Source organism: Homo sapiens, chromosome Y (assembly GCF_000001405.40).
Source record: "Homo sapiens chromosome Y, GRCh38.p14 Primary Assembly".
Taxonomy (NCBI): Eukaryota; Metazoa; Chordata; class Mammalia; order Primates; family Hominidae; genus Homo; species Homo sapiens.
In genome coordinates this window covers 57,086,232-57,105,918 of record NC_000024.10, presented here as the reverse complement: position 1 = coordinate 57,105,918, position 19,687 = coordinate 57,086,232, and the positions used below count along the sequence as shown (strand labels likewise).

The 19,687-nt window shown below is 39.1% G+C and overlaps 1 protein-coding gene across 7 annotated transcripts in view, besides 1 other annotated feature; it reads right to left on the bottom strand.

Annotated features, from left to right (window-relative positions):
* VAMP7 (vesicle associated membrane protein 7) overlaps positions 1 to 19,687 on the bottom strand; it is a 62,425-nt gene that overhangs the window by 24,371 nt on the left and 18,367 nt on the right. For all 7 annotated transcript variants that reach the window (NR_033714.2, NR_033715.2, XM_017030063.2 and 4 more), the window contains one exon: positions 18,812 to 18,902. Coding sequence is in view for 5 of the 7 variants with exons in the window: in XM_017030063.2 (XP_016885552.1) it covers positions 18,812 to 18,902 (91 nt within the window). In the remaining 2 variants the exon portion in view is untranslated. The remainder of the gene's footprint in view (positions 1 to 18,811; positions 18,903 to 19,687) is intronic.
* Positions 11,034 to 11,585: an enhancer, noted in NCBI's record as "H3K27ac hESC enhancer chrX:155137478-155138029 (GRCh37/hg19 assembly coordinates)". NCBI's record gives its function as "activates a minimal SCP1, AML or CMV promoter by ChIP-STARR-seq in primed H9 embryonic stem cells {active_cell/tissue: H9 hESC(primed)}" and the evidence as "EXISTENCE:reporter gene assay evidence [ECO:0000049][PMID:30033119]".

Genomic DNA, 19,687 nt, shown 5'->3' with positions numbered 1-19,687 from the left:
CTATTAACAACTATATGCTAATAAACTTGAAAACCCAGAAGAAATGGATAAATCCCAGGACACATGCAACCTACCAAGACTGAATCAGAAAGAAATAGAAAACCTGAACAAGCCAGTAATGAGTAATGGGATTGAATCAGTAATAAAGTATAATCAGTAATAAAGTCTCCCAACAAAACCAAAACAATGCCCAGAATCAGCTGGCTTCACTGGAGAACTCCATGAAACTTACAGAGAAGAACTAATATCACTTCTCAAACTATGCCAAAAAATTCAAGAGGAGGGAATTCTCCCTACTCATTCTATAAGGCCAGCATTACCCTGATACCAAAACCTGATAAGGACTCAACAAAAAAACAAAACTGCAGGCCAACAACCCTGATGATCACAGATGCAAAAATCCTCAACGAAATACTAGCAAACCAAATCAAACATCACATCAAAAAGATAATACACCATGATCAAGTGGGATTTATCCCAGGGATGCAATGATGATTCAATGCATGCAAATCAATAAACATGAAACATTCCATCAATAGAATAGAGAATAAAAGCCACATGATCACCTTAATAGATGCAGAGAAAGCATCTGATAAAAAAAGCATTTGATAAAATTCAACATCTCAGGGTGGTTGGCAAGATGACCGAATAGGAACAGCTCTGGTCTGCAGCTCCCAGTGAAATCAATGCAGAAGGTGGGTAATTTCTGCATTTCCAACTGAGGTACCCGGCTCATCTCATTGGGACTGGTTAGACAGTGGGTGCAGCCCACGGAGGGTGAGCCGAAGCAGGGTGGGGCGTTGCCTCATCCAGGAAGCACAAGGGGTCGGGGAACTCCCTCCCCTAACCAAGGGAAGCCTTGAGGGACCGTGCCGTGAGGAATGGTGCACTCTGGCCCAGATACTATGCTTTTCCCACAGTCTTCGCAATCTGCAGACCAGGAGATTCCCTTGGGTGCCTATGCCACCAGGGACCTGGGTTTCAAGCACAAAACTGGGCGGCCATTTGGGCAGACACCGAGCTAGCTGCAGGAGTTTTTTTTTCATACCCCAGTGGCGCCTGGAATGCCAGTGAGACATAACTGTTCACTCGCCTGGAAAGGGGCTGAAGCCAGGGAGGCAAGTGGTCTAGCTCAGTATATTCCACCCCCACGGAGCCCAGCAGGCTAAGATCCACTGGCTTGAAATTCTCATTGCCAGCACAACAGTCTGAAGTCGACCTGGGACACTCGAGCTTGGTGGAGGGAGGGGCGTCTGCCATTACTGAGGCTTGAGTAGGCAGTTTTCCCCTCACTGTGTAAACAGAGTGGCCAGGAAGTTTGAACCGGGGAGAGCCCACCGCAGCTCCGCAAAGTCCCTGTAGCCAGACTGCCTCTCTAGATTCCTCCTCTCTGGGCAGCGCATCTCTGAAAGAAAGGCAGCAGCCCCAGCCAGAGGCTTATAGATAAAACTCCCATCTCCTTGGGACCGAGCACCTGGGGGAAGGGGTGGCTGTGGACTCAGTTTCAGCAGACTTAAACGTTCCTGCCTGCCAGTTCGGAAGAGAGCAGCGGCAATCCCAGCACAGTGCTCAAGCTCTGCTAAAGTATAGACTGCCTCCTCAAGTGGGTCCCTGAGCTCCATGCCTCCTGACTGGAAGATACCTCCCAGCAGGAGTCGACAGACATCTCATACAGGAGAGCTCTGGCTGGCATCTGGCAGGTGCCCCTCTGGGACGAAGCTTCCAGAGGAAGGAACAGGCAGCAATCTTTGCTGTTCTGCAGCCTCCGCTGGTGATACCCAGGCAAACTGGGTCTGGAGTGGACCTCCAACAAACTCCAGCAGACCTGCAGCAGAGAGGCCTGTTAGAAGGAAAACTAACAAACAGAAAGGAATAGCATCAACATCAACAAAAAGGATGTCCACATAGAAACCCCATCCAAAGGTCACCAACATCAAAGACCAAAGGTAGATAAATCCATGAAGATGAGGAAAAACCAGTGCAAAAAGGCTGAAAATTCCAAGAGAACAAACTGGACGGAGAATGAGTTTGACAAATTGACAGAAGCAGGCTTCAGAAGGTGGATAATAACAAACTCCTCCAAGCTAAAGGAGAATGTTCTAACCCCATGCAAGGAAACTAAGGACCTTGAAAAAAGGTTAGAGGAATTGCTAACTAGAATAGCCAGTTTAGAGAAGAACATAAATGACCTGATGGGACTGAAAAACACGGCACGAGAACTTTGTGAAGCATACAAAAGTATCAATAGCCGAACTGATCAGGTGGAAGAAAGGATATCAGAGATTGTAGATCAACTTAATGAAATAAAGTGTGAAGACAAGATTAGAGAAAAAATAATGAAAAGGAATGAACAAAGGCTCCAAGACATATGGGACTATATGAAAAGACCAAACCTATGTTTGATTGGTGTGCTTGAAAGTGACAGGGAGAACAGAACCAAGTTGGAAAACATTCTTTAGGATATTAACCAGGAGAACTTCCCCAACCTAGCAAGATAGGTCAACATTCAAATTTGGGAAATACAGAGAACACCACAAAGATACTCCTCGAGAAGAGCAACTCCAAGACACATAATCGTCAGATTCACCAAGGATGAAATGCAGGAAAAAATGTTAAGGGCAGCCAGAGAGAAAGGTCAGGCTACCCACAAAGGGAAGCCCATCAGACTAACAGCAGATCTCTCGACAGAAACCCTACAAGCCAGAAGAGACTGGGGGCGAATATTCAACATTCTTAAAGAAAAGAATTTTCAACCCAGAATTTCATATCCAACCAAACTAAGCTTTATAAGTGAAGGAGAAATAAAATCCTTTACAGACATGCAAATGCTGAGAGATTTTGTCACCACCAGGCCTGCCTTACAAGAGGTCCTGAAGGAAGCACTAAATATGGAAAGGAAAAACCAGTACCAGCCACTGCAAAAACATATCAAACTGTAAAGACCATCAACACTATGAAGAAACTATATCGACTAACAAGCAAAATAACCAACTAGCATTATAATCACAGGATCAAATTCACACATAACAATATTAACCTTAAATGTAAATGGGGTAAATGCCCCAAATAAAAGACACAGACTGGCAAATTGAATAAAGAATCAAGACCCACCCATGTGCTGCATTCAGGAGACCCATCTCATGTGCAAAGACACACACAGGCTCAAAATAAAGGGATAGAGGATTATTTACTAAGCAAATGGAAAGCAAAAAAAAGCAGTGGCTGCAATCCTAGTCTCTGATAAAACAGACTTTAAACCAACAAAGATCAAAAAAGACAAAAAAGGGCATTACATAATGGTAAAGGGATCAATGCAACAAGAAGAGCTAACTATCCTAAATATATATGCACCCAATACAGGAGCACCCAGATTCATAAAGCAAGTTCTTACAGACCTACAAAGAGACTCAGACTCCCACACAATAATAGTAGGAGACTTTAACACCCACTGTCAATATTAGATTGAGACAGAATATTAACAAGGATATTCAGGACTTGAACTCAGCTCTGGACCAAGAGGACCTAATAGACATCTACAGTACTCTCCAAGCCAAATCAACAGAATATACATTCTTCTCAGCACCACATTGCACTTATTCTAAAGTTGATCACATAATTGGAAGTAAAACACTCCTCAGCAAATGCAAAAAATGGAAATCGTAACCAACAGTCTCTCAGACCACAGTGCCATCAAATTAGAACTCAGGATTAAGAAACTCACTCAAAACTGCACAACTACATGGAAAATGAACAACCTGTTCCTGAATGACTACTGGGTAAATAACAAAATTAAGGCAGAAATAAATAAGTTTTTTGAAACCAATGAGAATAAAGACACAACGTACCAGAATCTCTGGGACACAGCTAAAGCAGTATTTAGAGGGAAATTTATAGCACTAAATGCCCACAGCAAAAAGTGGGAAAGATTTAAAGTCAACACCCTAACATCACAATTAAAAGAACTAGAGAAGCAAGAGCAAACAAATTCAAAGGTAGCAGAAGACAAGAAATAACTAAGATCAGAGCAGAACTGAAGGAGAAAGAGACATGAAAAACCCTTCAAAAAGAATCAATGAATCCAGGAGCTGGTTTTTTGAAAAGATTAACAAAATTGATAGACTGCTAGCGAGACTAATAAAGGAGAAAAGAGAGAAGAATCAAATAGAAACAATAAAAAATGATAAAGGGGGTATCACCACTGATCCCACAGAAATACAAACTACCATCAGAGAATACTATAAACACCTCTATGCAAGTAAACTAGAAAATCTGGAAGAAATGGATAAATTCCTGGACACATACACCCTCCCAAGACTGAACCAGGAAGAAGTCAAATCCCTGAATACAACAATAACAAGTTCTGAACTTGAGGCAGTAATTAATAGCCTACCAAACAAAAAAGGTCCAGGACCAGAAGGATTCACAGCTGAATTCCACCAGAGGTATAAAGAGGAGCTGGTACCATTCCTTCTGAAACTATTCCAAACAACAGAAGAAGAGGGACTCCTCCCTAACTCATTTTATGAGGCCAGCATCATCCTGATACCAAAGCCTGGCAGAGACACAACCAAAAAGGAAAATTTCAGGCCAATATCCCTGATGAACACTGATGCGAAAATCCTCAATAAAATACTGGCAAATCGAACCCATCAGCACATCAAAAAGCTTATCCACCACGATCAGGTCAGCTTCATCACTGGGATGCAAGACTGGTTCAACATACGCAAATCAATAAACGTAATCCATCACAGAAAAAGAACCAATGACAAAAACCACATGATTATCTCAATAGATGCAGAAAAGGCCTTCGATAAAATTCAACACCGCTTTATGCTAAAAACTCTCAATAAACTAGGTATTGATGGAATGCATCTCAAAATAATAAGAACTATTTATGACAAACCCACATCCAATATCATACTGAATGGGCAAAAGCTGGAAGTATTCCCTTTGAAAACCAGCACAAGACAAGGATGCCCTCCCTCACCACTCCTATTCAACATAGTATTGGAAGTTCTGTCCAGGGCAATCAGGCAAGAGAAAGAAATAAAGGGTATTCAAATAGGAAGAGAGGAAGTCAAATTGTCTCTCTTTGCAGATGACATGATTGTATATTTAGAAAACCCCATTGTCTCAGCCCAAAATCTCCTTAAGCTGATAAGCAACTTCAGCAAAGTATCAGAATGCAAAATCAATGTGCAAAAATCACAAGCATTCCTATACACCAATAAAAGACAAACAGAGAGCCAAATCATGAGTGAACTCCCATTCACAATTGCTACAAAGAGAATAAAATACCTAGAAATACAACTTACAGGGGATGTGAAGGACCTCTTCAAGGAGAATGACAAACCACTGCTCAAGGAAATAAGAGAGGACACAAATGAATGGAAAAACATTCCATGCTCATGGATAGGAAGAATATGGCCAAACTGCCCAAAGTAATTTATAGATTCAATGCTATCCCCATCCAGCTACCATTGACTTTCTTCACAGAATTAGAAAAACACTACTTTAAATTTCATTTGGAACCAAAAAAGAGCCCACATAGCCAAGACAATCCTAAGCAAGAAGAACAAAGCTGGAGACATCACGCTACCTGACTTCAAATTATACTACAAGGCTACAGTAACCAAAACAGCATGGTATTGGTACCAAAACAGATACATAGACCAATGGAACAGAACAGAGGCCTCAGAAATAACGCTACACATCTACAACCATCTGATCTTTGACAAACCTGACAAAAACAAGCAATGGGGAAAGGATTCCCTATTTAATAAATGGTGTTGGGAAAACTGGCTAGCCATATTCAGAAAACTGAAACTGGCCCCCTTCCTTACACCTTATACAAAAATTAACTCAAGATGGATTAAAGACTTAAACATAAGACTTAAAACCATAAAATCCCTAGAAGAAAACCTGGGCAATACCATTCAGGACATAGGTATGGGCAAAGATTTCATGACTAAAACACCAAAAGCAATGGCAACAAAAGCCAAAATTGACAAATGGGATCTAATTAAAGCAAAGAGCTTCTGCACAGCAAAAGAAACTATCATCAGAGTGAACAGGCAACCTACAGAATGGGAAAAAATTTTTGCAATCTATCCATCTGACAAAGGGCTAATATCCGGAATCTACAAGGAACTTAAACAAATTTACAAGAAAAAAACAACCCCATCAAAAAGTGTGTGAAGGATATGAAAAGACACTTCTCAAAAGAAGACATTTATGTGGCCAATAAACATATGAAAAAAAAGCTCATCATCACGGGTCATTAGAGAAATGCAAATCAAAACCATAATGAGATATCCTCTCACACCAGTAAGAATGGCGACCATTAAATGGCAATCATTAACAAGTCAGGAAAGAACAGATGCTGGAGAGGATGTGGAGCAATAGGAATGCTTTTACACTGTTGGTGGAAGTGTAAATTAGTTCAACCATTGTCAAAGACAGTGTGGCGATTCCTCAAGGATCTAGAACCAGAAATACCATTTGACCCAGCAATCCCATTATTGGGTATATACCCAAAGGATTATAAATCATTTTACTATAAAGACACATGCACACGTATGTTTATTGCAGCACTGTTCACAATAGCAAAGACTTGGAACCAACCCAAATGCCCAACAATGATAGACTGGATAAAGAAAATGTGGCACATATACACGATGGAATACTATGCAGCCATAAAAAAGGAGGAGTTCATGTCCTTTGCAGGGACATGGATGAAGCTGGAAACCATCATTCTCAGCAAGGTAAGAAAGGAACAGAAAACCAAACACCACGTGTTCTCACTCATAAGTGGGAGTTGAACAATGAGAACACATGGACACAGGGAGGGGAACATCACACACTGGGGCCTGTTGGGGGTAGGGGGGCTAGGGGAGAAATAGCATTAGGAGAAATACCTAATGTAGATGATGGGTTAATGGGTGCAGCAAACCACCATGGCATGTGTATACCTATGTAACAAAGCTGCACATTCTGCACATGTATCCCAGAATTTAAAGTATAATAATAAAAAAAGAGCAAATGTGTAACATAGAAATTGCAATGGGTCAGGTTGAAATATTTCCATTTTCATCCATAATTTTAGCAGTATGATGACATAGCTCAAAAGGAAAATAGGATATTCTACTTTTATATATTCAAATAAAAATATATAGTTCAAGGTATCAAAAAAAATTCAACATCTCTTCATGATAAAAACTCTCAAAAAACTAGGCATAGAAGGAATATCCCTCAACATGATAAAGGCCATTTATGACAAACCCACAGCTAACATCATACGGAATGGGAAAAACGAAAAGCCTTTCCTCTAAGAAATGGAAAACTCTCACCACTCCTATTCAACATAGTACTGGAAGGAAGCCCAGTTTCACTACTCCTATTCAACACAATACTGGAAGTCCTAGCCAGAGCAATCAGGCAAGAGAAAGAAATAAAGGGCATCCAAATTGAAAAAGAGGATGTCAAATTATCCCTCTTTGCAGATGATATGATCTTATGTCTAAAAGACCCAAAGACTCCACCAAAAAACTCCTAGATCTGATAAATATATTCAGTAAAGTTGCAGGATACAGAATCAACATACAAATATCTGTAATGTTTCTATGCATCAATAATCAACTTGGTGAAATAAAACTTTATGAAATCAAGAAGGTAATCCCATTTATAATAGTTATGAACATATAAAATATTGAAGAATAAATTTAACGAGTAGGTGAAAGACTCCTACAAGTAAAACTACAAAACACTGATGAAAAAAACTGAAGATGACACAAAGATACAGAAAGACATCTTATGGTCATGGATCATAAGAATGTATATTATTAAAATGACCATAAGCCCAAAGCAATCTACAGATTCAATGCAATCTCTATCGAAGTACCAATGTCATTTTTCACAGAAACAGAAAAAACAATCCTAAAATTAGTATTTCAGGAACCAAAAAAGAGTCCAAATAGCCAAAGCAATCCTGAGCAAAATGAACAAAGCTGGAGGCATCACACTACCTGACTTCAAAACATATTACAAGGCTACAGTAACCAAAACAGCATGGTTTGGTATAAAAACAGACACAAGGTCGATGGAATAGAATAGAAAAGCCAGACATTGATCCACGTATGTACAGCCACACATATATAGGCAACTGATTTTCAACAAAGGTGCCAAGGACGTACACTGGGGAAAGGACACTTTCTTCAATAAATGGTATTGGGAAAACTGGATATCCATATGTGGAAGAATTAAACTGGACCTCTGTCTCTCATCACATACAAAAATCAACCAAGATAGATTAAAGACTTAAATTTCAGACCCAGAACTATAAACCTACTAGAAGAAAACATAGGGGAAACACTTCAGAACACTGCTCTAGGAAAAGATTTTATGGCTAACACCTCAAAAGGACAGGTAACGAAAAGAAAAATAGACAAATAGGACTATATTAAACAAAAAAGCTTTTGCACAGCAAAGGAAATAATCAAGAGTGAAGAGACAACCAGTTGAATGGGAGAAAATAGTTGCAAACTATTCATTTGATAAGGGAATAATATCCAGAATATATAATGAACTCAACAGGAGATATACAAATAATCCCCTTAAAAAGTGGGCAGAGGACATGAATAGCCATTTCTCAAAAGAAGACATACAAATGGCCAAAAGGTATATGAAAAAATGCTCAACATCATAGAAATGCAAATAAAAGCCAAAATGAGATATCATGTTACCCCAGTTAGAATGGTTACTAAAAAGATACAAAATAACAGATGCTGGCTAGTATAAGGAAAAAAAAAAAAAACACTTACACACTGTTGGTGGGAAAGTAAACTAGTGCAGCTACTATGGAAACCAGTGTGGAGATTTCCCCAAAAACTAAAAATTAAACTACCATATGATCCAGCAATCCTACTACTGGGTATTTATGCAAAGGAAAAGAAATCAGTGTATAGACGGGATATCTGCACTTGCATATTTATTGCATCCCTATTCACAATAGCAAAGATATGGAGTCAACCTAAGTGTCCATGAATGGATGAATGGATAAAGAAAATGTGGTTTATAAACACAATGGAATACTATTTGACCATGAAATAGAATGAAGTCATGCCATTTACAGCAACATGGATGTAACTGGAGGTTATTATGTTAAGTGATATAAGGCAGGCATGGAAAGACAAATATCACATGTTCTTACTCACATGTGGGAACTAAAACAGTTGATCTCATGGAGGTAGACAATAGCACAATAGATACCAGAGGCTAGGAAGGGTGTGGGTATGTGGGGCCGAGCAGGGAATATGAGAGGATGGTTAATAGGTACAAACACACAGTTGGATAGAAGGAATAAGTTCTAATGTTTGATAGCAGAGTAGGGTGACTAAAGTTAACAATAGTGTATTATATATTTCAAAATAGCTAGAAGAGAGAATTTGAAATGTTCCCATCACACAGAAATAAATTCTTGAGCTGATGGACACCCCATATATCCTGACTTGATCATTACACAGTCTTTGCATGTAACAAAATATCACACGTACCCCATAAATGTGTACAAATATTATGTATCAATTAAATAAAAGACACTAGACAGCTAGCTCTCTTTTCCTTGCCTGATGGGAGAACAGAGAGAGAAGATGCTGTCTGCAAGCCAGGAAGAGAGCCCTTACCAGAACCTGACCATACTGGCACCGTGATCTTGGACTTCTAGCCTCCAGAAATGTGAGAAAATAAATTTCTGTTGTTTAAGTCACTACGTCTATGGAATTTTGTTATGGCAGCCTGAGCTAAGACAAATGATCTCAAATTAACAACCTAACAACTTAACTTTCTACCTTATGGATCTAGAAAAGAAGGGTAAACTAAATCTAAAGCTAGCAGTGGGAAGGAAATAAATATTAGGGTGAACAAATTAAATAGAGAACAGAAAAACTATAGAAAAAAAATCTATGAAACCAGAAGTTGGTTCTTTAGAAAGATCAATAAAATTGACAAACCTTTACGTAGAATGACCAAGTAAAACAGAAAAAACTTACATTACTAAAATCAGAAATGAAAGAGGAGACATCACCACCAAACTTACAAAATGAAGAGGATCTTAGGGGAATTCTATAAACAGGAGTGTGTAAATAAATTAGGTAACTTAGATGAAATGCACAAATTCCTAGAAAGATACAAACTGCTAAACAGACTCAAGAAGAAATAAAAAATCTGAATAGCTACAGCAAGCATAGAGACTAAATCAGTAATTTTAAAACTTCAGGCCGGGCATGGAGGCTCATGCCTGTAATCCTAGCACTTTGGTAGGCTGAGGCAAGTGGATCGCTTGAGCCCAGGAGTTTGAGACTAGCCTGGGCAACATGGCAAGACCTTGTCTCTACAAAAAAACCAAAAAACAAAAATTAGCCAGGTGTGGTGGCACATGCCTGCAGTCCCAGCTGCTTGGGAGGCTGAGGTGGGAAGATTACCTGAGCCCAGGAGGTCAAGGCTGCAGGTAACCCTCCCACCAAGGGAATGAAAGAGGAATTAGAGAGGATCATGTCACTGCACTCCAGCCTGGGTGACAGACAGACCCCATCTCAAAAAACAAAAACAAAAACAAAAAAGCTTCACACAAAGAAAAGCCCAAGCCCAGGTGGCTTCAAAGGTGAATTCTACCAAACATTTCAAGAATTAATACAAAACTTTCACAAATCTTTCCAAAATAGAAGAAAAGGGGAACACTTCTTGACTCATTCTATGAGCCCAGCATTACCCTGGTATCAAAACCAAAGACATCACAAGAAAAGAAAATGGCTCTCCCTCTCCCTCTCCCCCTCCCCCTCTCACTCTCCCCACGGTCTCCCTCTCCCTCTCTTTCCACGGTCTCCCTCTGATGCCCAGCCGAAGCTGGACTGTACTACTGCTATCTCGGCTCACTGCAACCTCCCTGCCTGATTCTCCTGCCTCAGCCTGCCGAGTGCTGCCACGCCTGACTGGTTTTCGTATTTTTTTGGTGGAGACGGGGTTTCGCTGTGTTGGCCGGGCTGGTCTCCAGCTGCTAACCGCGAGTGATCCGCCAGCCTCGGCCTCCCGAGGTGCCGGGATTGCAGACGGAGTCTCGTTCACTCAGTGCTCAATGGTGCCCAGGCTGGAGTGCAGTGGCGCGATCTCGGCTCGCTGCAACCTCCACCTCCCAGCCGCCTGCCTTGGCCTCCCAAAGTGCCGAGATTGCAGCCTCTGCCCAGCCGCCACCCCGTCTGGGAAGTGAGGAGCGTCTCTGCCTGGGCACCCATCGTCTGGGATGTGAGGAGCCCCTCTGCCTGGCTGCCCAGTCTGGAAAGTGAGGAGCGTCTCTGCCCGGCCGCCATCCCATCTAGGAAGTGAGGAGCGTCTCTGCCCAGCCGCCATCCCATCTAGGAAGTGAGGAGCGTCTCTGCCCGGCCGCCCATCGTCTGAGATGTGGGGAGCGCCTCTGCCCCGCCGCCCCTTCTGGGAGGTGAGGAGCGTCGCTGCCCGGCCGCCCTGTCTGAGAAGTGAGGAGACCCTCCACCCGGCAGCCGCCCCGTCTGCGAAGTGAGGAGCCCCTCCGCCCAGCAGCCGCCCCGTCTGGGAGGTGTACCCAATAGCTCATTGAGAACGGGCCATGATGACAATGGCGGTTTTGTGGAATAGAAAAGGGGGAAAGGTGGGGAAAAGATTGAGAAATCGGATGGTTGCTGTGTCTGTGAAGAAAGAAGTAGACATGGGAGACTTTTCATTTTGTTCTGTACTAAGAAAAATTCTTCTGCCTTGGGATCCTGTTGATCTATGACCTTACCCCCAACCCTGTGCTCTCTGAAACATGTGCTGTGTCCACTCAGGGTTAAATGGATTAAGGGCGGTGCAAGATGTGCTTTGTTAAACAGATGCTTGAAGGCAGCATGCTCGTTAAGAGTCATCACCACTCCCTAATCTCAAGTACCCAGGGACACAAACACTGTGGAAGGCCGCAGGGTCCTCTGCCTAGGAAAACCAGAGACCTTTGTTCACTTGTTTATCTGCTGATCTTCCCTCCACTATTGTCCCATGACCCTGCCAAATCCCCGTCTGTGAGAAACACCCAAGAATGATCAATAAAAAAAAATAATAAAATAAATAAATAAATAAAAGAAAATGATATACCAACAACTCTTAAAAATACAGACATTTAACAAATCCTCAACAGACTACTGGCAGGATGAATCCAATAATATGCAAAAAGGACTATACACCATGATGCAGTGGGATTCATTTCAGAAACACAAGGTTGATTTAATATCTGAAAATCAATTGTTATAATACATCATATTAATAAAGAACAAAAACCATCATTTCAATAGATGTAAAAAAAATTGACAAAATCCAACACTGTTTAATGATAAAACCACTCAACAAATAAGAAAAAGAAACTTCCTCAACCTGATAAAGGACATCTATGAAAAACCCACAGCTAACCTCATACTTAATTGTGGAAGATTCTTCAAGATCTCCCTAAGAGCAGGAATAAGACAATGATGTCCACTCTTACCACTTCTATTCAACATTATACTGGAGGTTCTAGCTAGGGCAAATAAGCAATAAAAAGAAATGAAAAGCATCCAGACTGAAAAGGAAGAATTAAAACTATCTCTATTTGCAAGTAGCATGATTCTATATAGAGAAAATCCTAAGGAAACTATTAAAAAGCTATTAGAACTAATAAAGGAGAACAAGGTTGTATGATACAACACCAATTTATAAAAATCAATAAAATTTCTATACATTAGTACTGAACAATCCGAAAATGAAAGAGAAAAATTCCATTTACAATAGCATAAAAAAATACTTAGGAACAAGGCAAGAAGGATGTTAGAAGAGATATTGTTAAAGAAAAATTATTCTGACACTGGTTAAAAAATGGTAAGGCAGATTTTGAGATTACTGCAATAGGGGTCAAGGCTATCACAATGGAGGGGAGAGATTGAGCTCAACTCCTAACACAACCAAGACCAGTGGGGATTTGTGGCCAATGAACAGAGTGAGGGGGTCAGAGGATGGAAAATTACTAAGAGGAGGCATCAAGGGCAAGGGGATTCTCTCTAAACTGGCCTAACAGGATTCCTGCTAAAAGCTGGCCGGACTTATATAACAAATATAGGGGACAAGGAACTTGATCAAGGGTGGGGTATTAGCAGGATTCTTTGCTAAGACTTCCTTAGGCAGGCCAAGGACAGAGCCCGAGGATGAGACCTAGTTTAACAGAGTGCTCAGAGGAGCTTGTCTAAAATTTGGTGAAGCAGAGTCTTTGTCATGTAAGACTTGCACACTGAAAACTACAAAACATTGTTGGAAAAAATTAAAGAAACCTAAATGAATAGAAAGAAAGCCCATGTTCATGGATCAGAAGTTTAATATTGTTAAAATGGCTCCCTAATTGATCTACAGATTCAACACAATCCCTATCAAAATCCCAGATAGCTTTTTTTGCTATCTGAAATTGACAAGCTCATCCTAAAGTTCATGAAAATGAAAGGTACCCAGAATAGTCAAAGCAATTTTGAGAAAGAATAAAGTTGGAAGATGAATATTTCCTGATTTTAAAACCTACTACAAAGCTATAATAATCATGACAGCCTGGTACTGGCATAAAGATAAACTGAACAGAACTGAAGGTCCAGAAACAAAGCTATACATCCATTGATAACTAATTTTTGATAAGAATGCTAAGATCATTCAACAGGGAAAGAAAAGCCTTTTCAGCAAATGGTTCTGGAACAACTGTATATACATATTCAACAGAATTAAGTTGGATCTCTTCTTTATTCCATACATAAACATTAACTCAAAATAGATCATAGATAGAAATGTAAGAGCTAAAACTAGTCTTAGAAGAAAACAAAGTAGTAAATCTTCATGATCTTGGCTTAGGCGACAGTTTCTTAGATATGTTATTCAAAGCACAAACTAAAGAAAAAAATAAATTGGACTTCATAAAAACTGTTGTGCTTCAAAGAACACCATCAAGAAAATGAAAAGACAACTCACAGAATAGAGCAAAATATTTGAAAATCATGTATCTGATAAGGGTCTAGTATCCAGAATATATAAAGTACTGTTATAGCTCAACCATAAAAAGACAAATAACCCACTTAAAAACAATAAAGTATTTTTAAATAGACATTTCTCCAAAGGTAAAGAAAATATACGAATGGCCTATAAGCACATGAAAAAATGCTCAACATCATTAGTCATCAGGGAAATGCAAATCAAAATCACAATAAAGTACCATTTCACTAGACTGGGTATAATCAAAAAAGATAAGTTTTGGCAAGGATGTGGAGGAATCAGAATCCTCATACATTGCTATTAGGAATGTATAAAGGTGCAGTCACTTTAGGAAAGTTTGGCCCTTCTTCAAAATGTTACAAAGTTGCCATGTGATCCAGCAATTCTATTCCTAGGTATGTAAGCAAGAGAACCAAAAACATATATATATATATATAATATATAATATATATATATGCTCACACAAAAACTTGTACACAAATGTTCATAGCAGCATTATTTATAATAACCAGACCATGAACTAATGAGTAGATACATAAAATGCATTAATGCATTGGAATTATTAGTCATAAAAAAGAATTAAGTATTGATTTATGCTACGACATGAATGAATCTCACAATCATTACGCTAAGTGAACGAAGACACAAAAGGCCACATATTACAAGATTCCATTTATACGAAATGTCCAGAATAGGCAAATTTATGAAGAAGAAAAGGGAATTAATTGTTGCTTAGGTCTGAGAGTTGAGGAGCAACTGCAAATGAGTACAGGGCTTCATTTAGGGATGATAAAAATGTTACAAAATTGATCGCAGCAATGGTTGTACAATTCTGTGAATATAGTAACCACTGACTGTATACTTTAAATGGGTGAATTATATGATATGTGAATTATATTTCAATTAAGCTGTTAAAAAAATGAAAGGGAATTAACTAGGAATGTTCTTGTCACATTTTAAATTTGCTTTTTTTATTTTATTTTATTATTATTATACTTTAAGTTTTAGGGTACATGTGCACAATGTGCAGGTTTGTTACATATGTATACATGTGCCATGCTGGTGTGCTGCACCCATTAACTCGTCATTTAGCATTAGGTATATCTCCTAAAGCTATCCTTCCCCCTCCCCCCACCCCACAACAGTCCCCAGAGTGTGATGTTCCCCTTCCTGTGTCCATGTGTTCTCATTGTTCAATTCTCACCTATGAGTGAGAACATGCGGTGTTTGGTTTTTTGTTCTTGCGATAGTTTACTGAGAATGAGGATTTCCAATTTCATCCATGTCCCTACAAAGGACATGAACTCATCATTTTTTATGGCTGCATAGTATTCCATGGTGTATATGTGCCACATTTTCTTAATCCAGTCTATCATTGTTGGACATTTGGGTTGGTTCCAAGTCTTTGCTATTGTGAATACTGCCGCTATAAACATACGTGTGCATGTGTCTTTATAGCGGCATGATTTATAGTCCTTGGGTATATACCCAGTAATGGGATGGCTGGGTCAAATGGTATTTCTAGTTCTAGATCCCTGAGGAATCGCCACACTGACTTCCACAAGGGTTGAACTAGTTTACAGTCCGACCAACTGTGTAAAAGTGTTCCTATTTCTCCACATCCTCTCCAGTAACTGTTGTTTCCTGACTTTTTAATGACTGCCATTCTAACTGGTGTGAGATGGTATCACATTGTGGTTTTGATTTGCATTTCTCTGATGGCCAGTGATGGTGAGCATTTTTTCATGTGTTTTTTGGCTGCATAAATGTCTTCTTTTGAGAAGTGTCTGTTCATGTCCTTCGCCCACTTTTTGATGGGGTTGTTTGTTTTTTTCTTGTAAATTTGTTTGAGTTCATTGTAGATTCTGGATATTAGCTCTTTGTCAGATGAGTAGGTTGTGAAAATTTTCTCCTATTTTGTAGGTTGTCTGTTCACTCTGATAGTAGTTTCTTTTGCTGTGCAGAAGCTCTTTAGTTTAATTAGATCGCATTTGTCAATTTTGGCTTTTGTTGCCATTGCTTTTGGTGTTTTAGACATGAAGTCCTTGCCCATGCCTATGTCCTGAATGGTAATGCCTAGGTTTTCTTCTACGGTTTTTATGGTTTTAGGTCTAAATGATAAAGGGGATATCACCACCGATCCCACAGAAATACAAACTACAATCAGAGAATACTACAAACACCTCTACGCAAATAAACTAGAAAATCTAGAAGAAATGGATAAATTCCTCGACACATACACCCTCCCAAGACTAAACCAGGAAGAAGTTGAATCTCTGAATAGACCAATAACAGGCTCTGAAATTGTGGCAATAATCAATAGCTTACCAACCGAAAAGAGTCCAGGACCAGATGGATTCACAGCAGAATTCTACCAGAGGTACAAGGAGGAACTGGTACCATTCCTTCTGAAACTATTCCAATCAATAGAAAAAGAGGGAGTCCTCCCTAACTCATTTTATGAAGCCAGCATCATCCTGATACCAAAGCCGGGCAGAGACACAACCAAAAAAGAGAATTTTAGACCAATATCCTTGATGAACATTGATGCAAAAATCCTCAATAAAATACTGGCAAACCGAATCCAGCAGCACATCAAAAAGCTTATCCACCATGATCAAGTGGGCTTCATCCCTGGGATGCAAGGCTGGTTCAGTATACGCAAATCAATAAATGTAATCCAGCATATAAACGGAACCAAAGACAAAAACCACATGATTATCTCAATAGATGCAGAAAAGGCCTTTGACAAAATTCAACAACCCTTCATGCTAAAAACTCTCAATAAATTAGGTATTGATGGGATGTATCTCAAAATAATAAGAGCTATCTATGACAAACCCACAGCCAATATCATACTGAATGGGCAAAAACTGGAAGCATTCCCTTTGAAAACTGGCACAAGACAGGGATGCCCTCTCTCACCACTCCTATTCAACATAGTGTTGGAAGTTCTGGCCAGGGCAATCAGGCAGGAGAAGGAAATAAAGGGTATTCAATTAGGAAAAGAGGAAGTCAAATTGTCCCTATTTGCAGATGACATGATTGTATATCTAGAAAACCCCATTGTCTCAGCCCAAAATCCCCTTAAGCTGATAAGCAACTTCAGCAAAGTCTCAGGATACAAAATCAATGTACAAAAATCACAAGCATTCTTATACACCAATAACGGACAGAGAGTCAAATCATGAGTGAACTCCCATTCACAGTTGCTTCAAAGAGAATAAAATACCTAGGAATCCAACTTACAAGGGATGTGAAGGACCACTTCAAGGAGAACTACAAACCACTGCTCAGTGAAATAAAAGAGGATACAAAGAAATGGAAGAACATTCCATGTTCATGGGTAGGAAGAATCAATATCATGAAAATGGCCATACTGCCCAAGGTAATTTATAGATTCAATGCCATCCCCATCAAGCTACCAATGACTTTCTTCACAGAATTGGAAGAAACTACTTTAAAGTTCATATGGAACCAAAAAAGAGCCCGCATCACCAAGTCCATCCTATGCCAAAAGAACAAAGCTGGAGGCATCATGCTACCTGACTTCAAACTATACTACAAGGCTATAGTAACCAAAACAGCATGGTACTGGTACCAAAACAGAGATATAGATCAATGGAACAGAACAGAGCCCTCAGAAATAACGCCACATATCTACAACCATCTGATCTTTGACAAACCTAAGAAAAACAAGCAATGGGGAAAGGATTCCCTATTTAATAAATGGTGCTGGGAAAACTGGCTAGCCATATGTAGAAAGCTGAAACTGGATCCCTTCCTTATACCTTATACAAAAATTAATTCAAGATGGATTAAATTTGCTGTTTCTATAACTCTAAAAATAAATAAGTCATTTAAAAGGAGTCGATTAAAAACGTTGATTTTTCTGGAAACTTTATGCATCTGCAATAAATAATATTGTAGCAATTGTCTGCCTCCACTTTCGGGCAAAATAAATACATTTGGTGACAAAAAAAAGAATAAAAATAAATAGTAGTTGTCTCAACAGATTCTCTAGTCTCTATCTAGATATATAATTAAAACTAAAATCAATTAAAGGAAATCACTTTAAATAGCCAAGACGTACATATCAAGAACCACGAAAACGTTTGCGCATTTTGATTATTAATCCCATTCCTGATAATTAATCTCAAGAAAATAAGAAAAACATAATAGGCACAAAAATATAACAGTATGGTTACTACTGTAGGATAAACTTCTAAATCAGTCCTACTTAAGAGTATTTGCAACTGGTTGACTAAGTCTCTAAGCATACTGTTCAGTCCAATTGACATTTTCATAGCAAGAGGGCCTCAGTGAAGGAAGCACAATATTGATTGACATTCTTCAGCAAGCTCCTTATCTGGTTGCAAAACAGCACTCTAACACTGTGCTAAAGAACCTATGCGTCCAAAATTCAGGCAAGGTTAGGTAACCCGTGATACATTAACTCAGTGAAATACTGTACAATCACACTGACCAAATTATTCTAAACTGCTGAATTATCATAAGGTTCTTAGAAATTAGTCTTGTTAAGCAAACTAGTAAATTTAGAATGAAGAATAGTTGCAAGGACAAAGAAGAAACCATTTGCACAAGCAGACAGTATCACAGTTGTCTCAGCTGACAATTAACTTCCAATGGTAAGAATAAGGAAGTGCTATTTTGGCTTCTCTAGAATAATTTGACCCCAGTCAAGTAATCTTTATCATTTTTGCCCACATGCATGAAACTATGCCATGAAACATACCTATGTTTCTGACCATGATTCCTTTCAGTTCATCCACTTGGGCTTGAGTCTCCATCACTTTGTCTAGGCCCTTATTCTCAGAGTGATGCTTCTATAAGAAAATAAGTTTTAACTTATGGTACCTAGACATTATTTACAATAGGAAAACAAAAATAAGGGGAATGACAATTTACACTGAGGAATGCTATAAAATTATGTCTCTATTGATATAAAAGATACATGTCACTTCACTGGAAAAATGTTACAATACCCAGGAAAAAATATGGGCAGCATAAAAAATGCTTCTATACAAACTATAAGTATGTAGTCTAAAAATTACCTTATTTTAAATAAAATAAAAATAAACATTATATCAAATATACATGTGACTTGTGGGGCAGAGATTGGGGGGGATATATAATCTGTGCTCAGACAAGGAAGAAAGGAGAAAAAGAAGACTGTAGTTGGGGCAGTGGGGGAAAGAATGCTGCAAAATTGTTCCCCACTTCTTGAGTATGATGAGGTAGGGGCTGGCCCAGCTTCTCAGAATCTGTTCTTGTATCTGCCAGGATCACAGCATATAAACTATTTTTATTGGCTTCTCACAGGATCTAGAATCTAAGACACTGATAATATATAGTTTGAAATTATTTATCCATAGCTAGCAATTATGGGGTGCTTAATACACAATGTTCCAGTCATTTCATTGTGTTAAGTGCTTCAAACGGGATATTATTTAATCCACCCCAAAACTCTATGAAACGATGCTATTATCTCTATTTACAGACAAAGGAACAGGTAGAGATTTTGTTCAGAAGGTCACACAGATCTAGAGCTAATGACAAATTGGTTAATTTGAAAGTTTTGTTTCTAGCTGACCCTTTACTTTTGACTAAG